This window comes from Homo sapiens, chromosome 9 (assembly GCF_000001405.40).
Source record: "Homo sapiens chromosome 9, GRCh38.p14 Primary Assembly".
NCBI lineage: Eukaryota > Metazoa > Chordata > Mammalia > Primates > Hominidae > Homo > Homo sapiens.
Genome location: NC_000009.12, coordinates 36,176,250 through 36,189,861, shown reverse-complemented (window position 1 = coordinate 36,189,861; position 13,612 = coordinate 36,176,250).

Genomic DNA, 13,612 nt, shown 5'->3' with positions numbered 1-13,612 from the left:
GAAAAGCCAAAAAAAGAAACCAAAAAACCAGAGGTCAACAAGAAGCTTCCAGAGGTAGTCAGCAGGGGACAAGAAAGTGTTTTTATAAAAAACGCACATATCTTTGATGACAAAAAAAAAGGGATAGCTATGAAGGAAAAATGAAGCAAATAAAAATTATTTAAAGCATATATTTACTTAAAGCATAATTTTAAAGTCATTTAAAGTATGAACCATAGGAAAGTGTTGAAGAAAAACATTTAAGAAAGTTAAAATGTTAGGGTCTGCAATTGATTCTGTTTCCCCTTGTCTGTTGTTTTATGCTCATCCCTAACATACATTGGCAACAGTGCATGAAGTATTTTCACATTAGCCTTGACATAGTCTCATGAGGAAAAGAGGGGCAGGGACTACTATGAGAGAGCCCAAGGAAGACAACTTTTAGTTGCTCACAACAGTAGTAGCTCCGGAACAGACAGCATTCTTTTTGGGGAAATGCATGACTTTGGGAGAAACTCTCCTGTGATTCCCTTGCTAGAGGAGGCATTACATATTATGCAAAAGCAACAAACAAGTATACACTCAAAATTGGAGGAATAGCTGATGTGTTTACGGATGATTTCACAGAGGTGGCTTGGAGCTCAGTTTTGAAATATGGGGAACGTTTAGAAGAGTCAATAATGAGGGTCTAATGTTAGTGTCATGTAAAAGTTCAGAGGTGGGAAAATGTTTGGCATGTTTTGGGGACAGTGAGTAAATTAGTTGGAGTCTGAAGAGCTCAGCAAGATGAATAATTGAAGGAAAATCTGGGGACAGATTCTGGAGCCCTGAAAGCATTCCATGTTAAGGAATCTTAATGGCAATAAGGAACCATAGAAGGTTTCAGATAAAGGAATGTTTTGATCAACTGCTGCTTAGGAGGTTAATCGGGTCCCTGGTTGCAGGATGGATGGGGCAGAGGCTGTGGGCAGAGATGTCAGGAGTGACATGATGAAGGTCTGGGCAGGGCAGAGGTATGGAGCTGAGTGGGGAGCGTTGATGGGAAAGCGGGTCCCAGTAGGGAAGTGACTAACTTGGTGACCGACCAGAGGTACGGGCTGGGAAAAAGGCAAGGGGAAAGGATGGGGTCATAAATCATGAATCTGTGAAATTGCCAGAACCATTAGTTTGAGGGCTTTGGGGGAGCCCAGGTGATTGCTGGGAGACAGAAGATTTAGAAGATGTCCAGGAACTAGAAGTGTGTAGCCTGCCATGATCCCTGGTGGACTGAACAAAGGTGGGTGGGCAATGGGAATAAAAGACAAGACAAAAGAGTATATTTGGAAGAAGGGGTCAGGGGGCACTTTGCCTCTAGTGGACAAGGGCCCTGAGTTTTACACATCCCTCCGTATTTCGTAGGCAAAAGAGAGCGAGAAAGGGGGGGTGATTGTCGGTAATTGTCAGTTAGAGGTTTGGTTCACAGCAGGCTTGTGAGACTGCATCTTTTGAACAATAGGTGCTAGATTTCTTAGATAACTTCAAGGAGCCCTGCACCAAGGAGTGATGTCCATCAGCAAACCTTTTGGTGGCAGGTGCAGTGTGTTTGCTCACATCCTACATTCATGATAAACAGTTTGCTGTTTGATCATATAGCCTCCAGTGGAATGCTGAGTTGGTCACGATCCCTTTGGCCTTTTCGGCTCCCAACAGAAGTGTGTATAGGAGAGAGTGGGACCACAGATGGAGACTAGAGAGGGAAGGACTGAGGCCTAAATCTTGGAGGATGGCTATATGTGAAGGAGGTAGAGGGGTGGGTCAGAGAGATTGGAGAGGGTTCAGTTAGAGCTGGGTGATGGAAGTCAAGCAGAGTTTGCAGAAGGAAGGAGTGACTAGCAGAAAGGTGAAGAATGAGAGCTGAGCAGATGCTCTTGGCCATCAAGTTCCCTGGTCACCTTGGTGAGAGAGATGTCAGTGGATGCCAGGAGTGGAAATCAGTTTGCACTAGGTTGAGGGATGGAAGCATAGTGGACATCTGTTGGTTCTGCCTGCCTACATCCAATTCCCTTTGTTCTGATACCAGCACTCCAATATTCCTTTGGGGAACCATTCTTCCTCATTTTCAGTTTTGTGGTTTGGATTGAGTGGACCACCCCCATGTGACCCAGGCCTGGCCAATTAGAACATCCCATTCCCTGCCCAAATGATTGGGAATGGACAAGTGAGTCAAACCAGGCTCATGAGGCTCAATTCCAGGACTGTTACTAGAATCTTAGGGAAAGAGCTAACTCTTTCTGCTGGAGCTGACAAGCAGGCAAAGTGTAAGCTTAGAGCTTCTTGTGGTCATCTTGTCATCAAGAGGAGAGATTGAGAGTGAGAATGAGGTCAACATGGAGGAATGCAGAGAGTGAGAAAGACAACTTCCTGTTGGTATCATTGAGGACCTGGATTCAGCCATGCTTGAAGTGAAAGATCTACTTCTGTACTTTTTGGCTCTGTGAACAAATAAATTCTATTTTTTTTCCCCTTAAGACAATTTTGAGTTGTGTTTCTGTCATAAAGAATTCTGCCTAATCCAGGCCAGGCACAGTGGCTCACGCCTATAATCCCAGCACTTTGGGAGGCCAAGATGGGTGGACCATTTGAGGTCAGGAGTTCGAGACCAGCTTGGACAACATTGTGAGACCCCGTCTCCACTAAAAATACAAAAATTAGCCAGGCATGGTAGTGTGCACCTGTAATTCCAGCTACTCAGGAGGCTGAGGTAGGAGAATCGCTTGAACCCAGGAGGCGGAGGTTGCAGTGAGCCGAGATCACGCTGCTGCACTCCAGCCTGGGCAACAGTGTGAGACTCTGTCTCAAAAAAAAAAAAAAAAAAAAAAGAATTTTGCCTAATATAGAATGAGAAGTGAGGGCAAATTTAAATGTAGAAGACATTAGAAAACTTTGCAGCCGGGCACCGTGGCTCACACCTGTAATCCCAACACTTTGGGAGGCCGAGGAGGGTGGATCATCTGAGGTCAGGGGTTCGAGACCAGCCTGACCAACATAAAGAAACCCCGTCTCTACTAAAAATACAAAATTAGCTGGGTGTGGTGGCACATGCCTGTAATCCCAGCTAACTCGGGAGGCTGAGGCAGGAGAATCACTTGAACCCAGGAGGCGGAGGTTTGCGGTGAGCCGAGATCACGCCATTGCACTCCAGTCTGGGCAACAAGAGTGAAACTCCGTCTCAAAAAAAAAAAAAAAAAAAAAAAAAAGGTTTGCAATGAGGGCCGGGCATGGTGGCTCATGCCTATAATCCCAGCACTTTGGGAGGCTGAGGCGGGCAGATCACTTGAGGCCAGGAGTTTAAGATCAGCCTGGCCAACATGGCAAAAACTCACCTCTACTAAAAATATAAAAATTAGCCGGACATGGTGGCATGTGCCTGTAGTCCCGGCTATTGGAGAGGCTGAGGCATGAGAATTGCTTGAACCTGGGAGGTGGAGGTTGCAGTGAGCTGAGATCATCCCACTGCACTCCTGCCTGGGTACAGAGTGAGACTCCATCTCAAAAAAAAAAAAGGAAAGGGGAAAGGAGGAAAGGAGGGAGAGCTGTGGCTAGAGAGGGCTCTAAGGTTGGGGTGATGTTTAGGTAAGAGAGACTTGAATGCTTGAATACATTTGTATGCCGAAGATAGAGGTTGAAGTCATAGAAGAAGGAGAGGTGGTGGGAAGGATGGGCTAAGGAGGGAGGATTTTAGAGGCAGAGACAAGGCTGAGGACAACTCTGAGGGACTCAATTGCTCCAGTAAAGTGAGAACCAGTAGAAAAGAGAGGAGAGGTTTAGAACCACCAAGGGGAAACTCAATAGATGATGGCCAAGAAAGACCTAGAAGGACTGTATTGTTCTAGTCAGGGTTCTCCAGAGAAACAGAATCAATAGAAGATGCATAATATGTATACATGTATATATATCCATATGCTGGGGAACAAAACACCATGGATTGGGTGGCTTAAACAGCAGAAATTAATTTTCTCACTGTACTAGAGGTTAGAAGTTCAAGATTAAGGTTCCAGCTGATTTGGTTCTAGTGAGGGCTCTCTTCTTGGTTTGCAGATGGCCACCTTCACTCTGTCCTCACATGGCCTTTTCTCTTATGTCTCTTATAAGGGCACTAATCATATTGGATCTAGGCTCTACCCCATATTACCTTATTTAACTTAATTAGTTCCTTAGAGGCCTCTACTCCAAATATAGCCACACTTGGGGTTAGGGCTTCAACATGAAGTTCTGAGGGGACACAAATACATAGTCCATAGTAATGTGTATATCTCTGTGAATGTGTATATATACATGTATAATACATATATACATGTATGTATATGCATATACATGCATGCACAAATATATACATATATGTATACATGTGCATATGCACATACATGCATACATACATGCATATATGTGCATGCATGTATATACATATGTATATGTGCATACACATATATATACACATGCATGTGCATGTATGCATACATGCATATACATAGGCACATACATACGTGTATGGATACGTGCATACATACGTGTATGCATGCATACATACATATATACACATGTATACATACATGCATATACACATACACACATATGTGTATATATATACATGCACATACACATATGTATATATACATACACATGCATACACGTATGTATATACATACACATATGTACACATATGTATCTATACATACACATAGGTACATATATGTATATATACATACATAGAGACTGAGAGTGAGACAGATAAAGAGGGGCACAGACACAGAGATTTGTTTCAAGGAATTGACTCACGTGATTGTGGAGCCTGGCAAGTCCAGAATCTGCAGGGTAGGCCAGCAGGCTGAAGTCCCACGAAAGAGTCGATGTTGCAGTTCAAGTCTGAAAGCAGTCGTCTGGCAGAATTCATTCTTTTACAGGGAAGTCAGTCTTTTTTTTTTTTTTCTTTCTTTTTTTAAATTAAAGTCTTTGGCTGGGTGTGGTGGCTGACGCCTGTAATCCCAGCACTTTGGGAGGCCGAGGTGGGTGGATCACCTGAGGTCAGGAGTTTGAGGCCAGCCTGGGAAACATGGGGAAACCATGTCTCTACTAAAAATACAAAAATTAGCCAAGCATGATGGTGGGCACCTGTGATCCCAGCGACTTGAGAGGCTGAGGCTCAAGAATCGCTTGAACCCAGGAGGCGGAGTTTCAGTGAGCCGAGATCACACTATTGTGACAGAGTGAGACTCCGTCTCAAAAGAAAAAAAAATTAAAGCCTTTGACTGATTGGATGAGTCCTGCTTACATTACAGAGGAAGAACTGCTTTACTCAGAGTTTACTGATTTAAATGTTAATCTGAAAAAAAACTTCAGCCAGACGTGGTGGTTCACGCCTGTAATCCCAGCACTTTGGGAGGCTGAGGCGGGCAGATCACTTGAGGTCAGGCGTTCGAGACCAGCCTGACCAATATGGTGAAATCCTGTCTCTACTAAAAATACAAAAGTTAGTTGGGCGTGGTGGTGGGCCCCTATAATCCCAGCTGCTTGGGAGGCTGAGGCAGGAGAATCGCTTGAACCTGGGAAGCAGAGGTTGCAGTGAGCCGAGACCATGCCATTGCACTCCAGCTTGGGCAACAAGAACCAAACTCTGTCTCAAAAAAAAATTAGCCAGGCGTGGTGGTGAATGCCTGTAATCCCAGCTACTCAGGAGGCTGAGGCAGGGAGAAATGCTTGAACCCGGGAGGTGGAGGTTGCAGTGACCCGAGATCATGCCACTGCACTCCAGCCTGGGCAACAGAGCGAGAGTCCGTCTCAAAAATAAATAAATAAATAAATAAATAAATAAAACAAACTTCATAGGAACATCTAGAATAATGTTTAAAATTTTTAAATTTTTGGCCAGCTGCGGTGGCCCATGCCTGTAATCCCAGCACTTTGGGAGGCCGAGGCAGGTGGATCACATGACGTCAGGAGTTCGAGACCAGCCTAACCAATATGGTGAAACCCCGTCTTTACTAAAAACACAAAAATTAGCTGGGCATGGTGGTGTGCACCTGTAGTCCCAGCTACTTAGGAGGCTAAGGCAGGAGAATCGCTTGAACCTGGGAGGCGGGGGTTGAAGTGAGCTGAGATCACACCACTACACTCCAGCCTGAGCAATAGAGCGAGATTCTGTCTCAAAAGTAAAAATAAATAAGTAAAATTTCTAAATTTTTTGTTTTAATTTATTTGTGTTTATTTATCTATTTATTTTTATTATTATTATATTTTTTTGAGACAGAGTCTCGCTTTGTCACCCAGGCTGGAGTGCAGTGGTGCGATCTGGGCTTACTGCCAGCTCTGCCTCCTGTGTTCAGCCATTCTCCCACCTCAGCCTCCGGAGTAGCTGGGATTACAGGCGCCTGCCACCACGCCCGGCTAATTTTGTTTTTGTATTTTTAGTAGAGACGGGGTTTCACTGTGTTAGCCAGGATGGTCTCGATCTCCTGACCTCGTGATCCACCCGCCTCGGCCTCCCAAAGTGCTGGGATTACAGGCGTGAGCCACCGCGCCTGGCCTGTATTTATTTTTAATTTTTGTGAGTACATACTAGATGTGCTTATTTATGGGTACGTGAGATGTTTTGATACAGGCATGCAATACATACTAATCACATCAGGGTAAATGGGGTATCCATCCCCACAAGCATTTATCCTTTGTGTTATAAACAATCCAGTTATACTGTTATTATTTTTTTTTTTTGAGACGGAGTCTCGCTCTGTCGCCCAGGCTGGAGTGCAGTGGCGCAATCTCGGCTCACTGCAAGCTCCGCCTCCCGGGTTCACGCCATTCTCCTGCCTCAGCCTCTCCGAGTAGCTGGGACTACAGGCGCCTGCCATCACGCCCAGCTAATTTTTTGTATTTTTAGTAGAGACGGGGTTTCACCATGGTCTCGATCTCCTGACCTCGTGATCCGCCCGCCTCGGCCTCCCAAAGTGCTGGGATTACAAGTGTGAGCCACCGCGCCCAGCACTTTTGGTTATTTTTAAATGTACTATGAAATTATTTTTGACTGTAGTCACACTGTTGTGCTAGCAAATACTAGGTCTTATTCATTCTTTTTTTATTTAATTAAAAATAGAGATGGGGTCTCCCTATGTTGCCCAGGCTGGTCTCAAACTCCTGGGCTCAAGCCATCCTCTCCCCTTGGCCTCCCAGAGTGCTGGGATTACAGATGTGAGTCACCACACCTGGCCTACTCATTCTACCTTTTCGGTACCCATTAACCATTCACACTTCCTCCCTTCCTCCTCCCCCTATTCCCAGTCTCTGGTAATCATCCTTCTCCTGTCTATCTCCATGATTTTTAGCTCCCACAAATAAGAAACAACATGCTGTTTGTATTTCATTTCTTTTCTTTTTTTTTTTTTTTTTTTGAGACAGAGTCTTACTCTGTCGCCCAGGCTGGAGTACAGTGTCTCAATCTTGGCTCACTGCAAACTCCGCCTCCTGGGTTCGAGCAATTTCCCTGCCTCAGCCTCTTGAGTAGCTGGGATTACAGGCATGCACCGCCATACCTGGGTAATTTTTGTATTTTTAGTATAGACGGGGTTTCATCATTTTGGCCAGGCTGGTCTTGAACTCCTGACCTCAGGTGATCCACCTGCCTCAGTCTCCCAAAGTGCTAGAATTACAGGCGTGAGCCACCGCACCCAGCCCAAAGTTTGTATTTCTGTGCCTGCCTTATTTCACTTAACATAATGACCTCCAGCTCCATCTACGTTGTTGTAAATGACAGGATCAATTTCTTTTTTTTATGGTGAATAGTATTCCATTGTGCATACGTACCACATTCCCTTTATCCATTTGTCAGTTGATGGACACTTAGGTTGCTTCCAAATCTTGGCTATTGTGAATAACGCTGCCATAAACAGGAGTGCAGATATTTTTTTATCTACTGATTTCCTTTCTTTTGGGTATATATCTAGGAGTGGAACTGCTGGATCATATGGTAGCTCTTTTTTTGTTTTTTTGAGGAACCTCCCAAGTGTTGTCTATAGAGATTGTACTAATTTACATTCCCACCAACAGTGTATGAGGGTTCCCTTTTTCTCCACATCCTCACCAGCGTTTGTTTTTGCCTGTCTTTTGGATAAAAGCCATTTTAATTAGGAATGAGATGATATCTCACTGTGGTTTTGATTTGTATTTCTCTGGTGATCAACGATGTTAAGCACCTTTTCATATACCTGTTTCCCATTTACATGTCTTCTTCTTTTTTTTTTTTTTTCTGAGACAGAGTCTTACACTGTTGCCCAGGCTGGGGTGAAGTGGTGTGATCTCCGCTCACTACAACCTCCACTTCCCAGGTTCAAGCAATTCTCCTGCCTCAGCGTCCTGAGCAGCTGGGATTACAGGTACCCGCCACCATGCCCGGCTAATTTTTTGTATTTTTAGTAGAACGGTGTTTCACTATGTTGACCAGGCTGGTCTTGAACTCCTGACCTCGTGATCCACCTGCCTCAGCCTCCCAAAGTGCTGGGATTATAGGCGTGACCCACCGCGCCCAGCCTGCATGTCTTCTTTTGAGAAATGTCTATTCGGATCTTTTGCCCATTTTTAATTGATTAGATTTTTTTTTCCTACAGAGTTGTTTGAGTTTCTTATATATTCTCCTTAGTCCCTTGTCAGATGGGTAGTTCTGCAAATATTTTATCCCATTCTGTGAGTTGTCTTTTCACTTTGCTTTGTTGTTTCCTTTGCTGTGCAGAAGCTTTTTAATTTGATGTGTCCATTCTTGCTTTGGTTGCTTGTGCTTGTGGGCTTTTACTCAAGAAATCTTTGCCCAGTCCAGTGTCCTGTAGAGTTTCCCCAGTGTTTTCTTGTATTAATTTCATAGTTTGAGGTCTCAGATTTAAGTCTTTCATCCATTTTGATTTGATTTTTATATATGATGAGAGATGGGGATCTAGTTTCATTCTTCTGCATATGGATGTCCAGTTTTCCTAGCAGTATTTATTGAAGAGACCATACTTTCTCCAATGTATGTTCTTGGCACTTTTGTCAAAAATGAGTTTACTGCAGATGTATGAATTTATTTCTGGGTTCTCTATTCTGTTCCACTGGTCTATGTGTCTGTTTTAATGCCAGTACCATCCATTTTGGTCACATTTGGTTATAGTGTATGCTGAGACCAGCTCGGTCGGGGAGACCCTAACCCAGCGGTGCTACAGGAATTAAAGACACACACACACAAATATAGAGGTGTGAAGTGGGAAATCAGGGGTCTCACAGCCTTCAGAGCTGAGAGCCCTGAACAGAGATTTACCCACATATTTATTAACAGCAAAAGAGTCATTAGCATTGTTTCTATAGATATTAAATTAACTAAAGTATCCCTTATGGGAAACGAAGGGATGGACCAAATTAAAGGAATAGGTTGGGCTAGTTGACTGCAGCAGGAGCATGTCCTTAAGGCACAGATCGCTCATGCTGTTGTTTGTGGCTTAAGAATGCCTTTAAGCAGTTTTCCACCCGGGGCAGACCAGGTGTTCCTTGCCCTCATTCCCGTAAACCCACAACCTTCCAGTGTGGGCGTTAGGGCCGTTATGAACATGTTACAGTGCTGCAGAGATTTTGTTTATGGCCAGTTTTGGGGCCAGTTTATGGCCAGATTTTGGGCGGCCTGCTCCCAACAAGTGTAGATGAAGTCCAATGTTTGTTGATTGGCTTTCTGTCTGGAAGATCAGTCTGGTGCTAAAAGTGGGGTGTTGAAGTCACCAGCTCTTATTATATTGGGGTCTATCACTCTCTTTAACACTAGTAAATTGGTTTGTATTAATTTTGTCTGGGTCCTCCTGTGTTAGGTGCATACATATTTGCAATTGTTATATCCTCTTACTGAATTGACCCATTTATCATTATATAATGGCCTTCTTTGTCTCTTCTTATAGTTTTTGTCTTGAAATCTATTTTGTCTAAGTATAGCTACTCCTGCTCTTTTCTGGGTTTCCATTGGCATGGAATATCTTTTTCCATCCCTTTATTTTCAGTCTATGTGTGTCTTTTTTTTTTTTTTAGATGGATTCTCACTCTGTTGCCCAGGCTGGAATGTGCAGTGGCATGATCTTGGCTCACTGCAACCTCTGCCTCCCAGGCTCAACCAATTCTCATGCCTCAGCCTCCCGAGTACCTAGGATTACAGGCATGCGCCACCGTGCCTGGCTAATTTTTTATGTTTTTAGTAGAGATGGGGTTTCACCATGTTGGCCAGGTCTCAAACTCCTGACCTCAAGCAGTCTGCCTGCCTCGGCCTCTCAAAGTGCTGGAATTACAGGCGTGAGCCACCGCACCTGGCCCACTCTAAGTCTTTTGATTGGTGATAGGGTTTGGCTCTGCGTCCCCACCCAAATCTCATGTTGAATTGTGATCCCCACATGTTGGAGGAGAGGCCCGGTGTGGGGTGATTGGATCAAGGGGTGAACTTCCCCCTTGCTGTTCTCATGATAGTGAATGAGTTCTTATTAGATGGTTGCTTTAAAAGTGTGCAGCACCTCCCACTTTGTTCTTTCTCTTCCTCCTGCTCCACCGTGGTAAGAAGTGCTTGTTTCCCTTTCACCTTCTGCCATAATTCTAAGTTTCCTGAGGCTTCCCAGACATGCTTCCTGTACAGCCTGAGGAACTGTGAGTCAATTAAACCTATTCTCTTCATAAACTATCCAGTTTCAGGTAGATCTTTATAGCAGTATGAGGACAGACTAACAAAATTGGTGAGTTTGGTCCCTTAACATTCAATGTTATACCAGGCACAGTGGCTCACGCCTGTAATCCCAGCACTTTGGGAGGCTGAGGTGGGTGGATCTTGAGGTCAGGAGATCAAGACCATCCTGGCTAACACGGTGAAACCCCGTCTCTACTAAAAATACAAAAAATTGCCAGGCGTGGTGGCAGGGGCCTGAAGTCCCAGCTACTCAGGAGACTGAGGCAGGAGAACCATTTGAACCTGGGAGGCGGAGGTTGCAGTGAGCTGACATCACGCCATTGCACTCCAGCCTGGGCAACAGAACCAGACTCTGTCTCAAAAAAAAAAAAAAATCAATGTTATTATTGACAAGTAAGGACTTACTCCCGCCAGTTTGTTATTTGTTTTCTGGTTGTTTTGTGGTCTTCTCTTCCTTCTTTTCTTCCTTCCTGTCTTCCTTTTAGTGAAGGTAATTTTCTCTGTGGTATGATTTAATTTCTTGCTTTTTATTTTTTGTGTATCTGTTGCATGTTTTCTGATTTCATATTATCCTGAGGCTTGCAAATACTTTTAACCCATTATTTTAAGCTGATAACAACTCAACACTGTTTGCATAAACAAATAAACTTACAAGCAAAAAGAAAACTAATAACTCTAACTTTGTCCCTCTGCTTTTTTTTTTTTTTTTTTGAGACAGAGTCTCAGTCTATCGCCCAGGCTGGAGTGCCAGTGGCACAATCTTAGCTCACTGCAACCTCTGTCTCCCGGGTTCAAGTGATTCTTCTGCCTCAGCCTCCCGAGTAGCTGAGATTACAGGCGTGTGCCACCACACCCAGCTAATTTTTGCATTTTTGGTAGAGATGGGGTTTTCACCGTATTGTCCAGGTTGGTCTCGAACTCCTGACCTCAGGCGATCTGCCCGCCTTAGCCTCCCAAAGTGCTGGGATTACAGGCATGAGCCACCACGCCCGGCCTGTCCCTCTGCTTTTTAACTTTTTTTTTTTTTTGAGACAGGGTCTTGCTTTGTCCACTCAAGCTGGAGTGCAGTGGCAGCTGGGACTACAGGTGTGCACCACAACGCCCAACTAAGTTTTGCATTTTTAGTAGAGATGGGGTTTCACCATGTTGGCCAAGCTGGTCTCAAACTCCTGACCTCAAGTGATCTGCCTGCCTTGGCCTCCCAAAGTGCTGGGATTACAGGTGTGAGCCTCTGCGCCCGGCCAATAGTCTGTCTTTTTCTGTATACTTACTATTACCAGTGAGTTTTGCATCTTCAGGTGATTTCTTTTTGCTCATTAACATCCTTTTCTTTCTGACTGAAGTATTCCCTTTAGCATTTCTTGTAGGAAAGATCTGGTGTTGATGAAATCTCTCAGCTGTTGTTTGTTTTGGAAAGTATTTCTTTTCCTTTTCTTCTTCTTTTTTTTTTTTTTTTTTTTGAGACAGAGTCTCATTCTGTCGCCCGGACTGGAGTGTATTGATGTGATCTCTGCTCACTGCAACCTCTGCCCTCCAGGTTCAAATGATTCTCCTGCCTCAGCCTCCTGAGTAGCTAGGACTCACAGGCATGAACCACTGCACCCAGCCTGTTTGGGAAAGTATTTCTCCTTCATGTTTGAAGGCTATTTTCTCCAGACATACTATTCTAGGGTAATTTTTGTTTTCCCCTTCAGCACTTTAAATATGTCATGCCACTCTTTCCTGGCCTATAATGTTTCCACTGAAAAATCTGCTGCCAGAAGTATTGGAGCTCCCTTGTATGTTATTTGTTTGTTTTCTCTTGATGCTTTTAGTATCCTTTCTTTGTCCTTGACCTTTGAGAGTTGGATTATTAAGTGCCTTGAGGTAGTTTTCTTCGGGTTAAATCTGCTTGGTATTCTATAACCTTCTTATAGTTGCATATTGATATTCTCTAGGTTTGGGAAATTCTCTGTTATTATCCCTTTGAATAAACTTTCTACTTCTATCTCTTTCTCTACCTCCTCTTTAAGGCCAATGACTGTTAGATTTGCCCTTTTGAGGCAATTTTCTAGATTTGTAGGTGTGCTTCATTTTTTTGTTGTTGTTGTTTGTTTGAGATGGAGTTTCACTCTGCCACCTAGTCTGGAGTGCAGTGGCGCCATCTTGACTCACTGCAATCTCCACCTCCCAGGTTCAAGTGATTCTCCTGCCTCGGCCTGGTGAGTAGCTGGGATTATAGGCATGCACTACCACACCTGGCTAAGTTTTGTATTTTTAGTAGTGACAAGATTTCACCATGTTGGCCAGGCTGGTCTCGAACTCCTGACCTTAGGTGATCTGCCCACCTCAGCTTCCCAAAATGTTGGGATTACACGCGTCAGCCACTGTGCCCAGCTGTGCTTCATTTTTATTCCTTTTTTTGCCTTCTCTGACTGTATATTTTCTTTTCTTTTTTTTTGAGACAGTCTCTTTCTCGCCCAGGCTGGAATGCAGTGGTGCAATCGCGGCTCATTGCAAACTGCCTCCCTGGTTGAAGTGATTCTCATGCCTTAGCCTCCTGAGTAGCTGGGACTACAGACGTGCACCACCATGCCCGGCTAATTTTTCTGTATTTTTAGTAGAGATGGGGTTTTGCCGTGTTGGCCAGGCTGGTCTCAAACTCCTGGCCTCAAGTGATCCACCTGCCTCGGCCTCCCAAAGTGCTGGGATTACAGGCATGAGCCACCGTGCCCAGCCAAGTTTTAATTATTCTTATAATTTATTTATAATATTTATTTTAATTATTCTTACTTTATAATTTCTTATTATAAAAGCAGAAATTCTGAAGTTGAAAAATGCAACTGACAACATAAGGATGCATCAGAGTCTATTAATATCAGAATTGATCAAGCAGAATTAGTGAGCTTCAAGACAAGTTATTTGAAAATACAGAGGCTGGGTGCAGTGGCC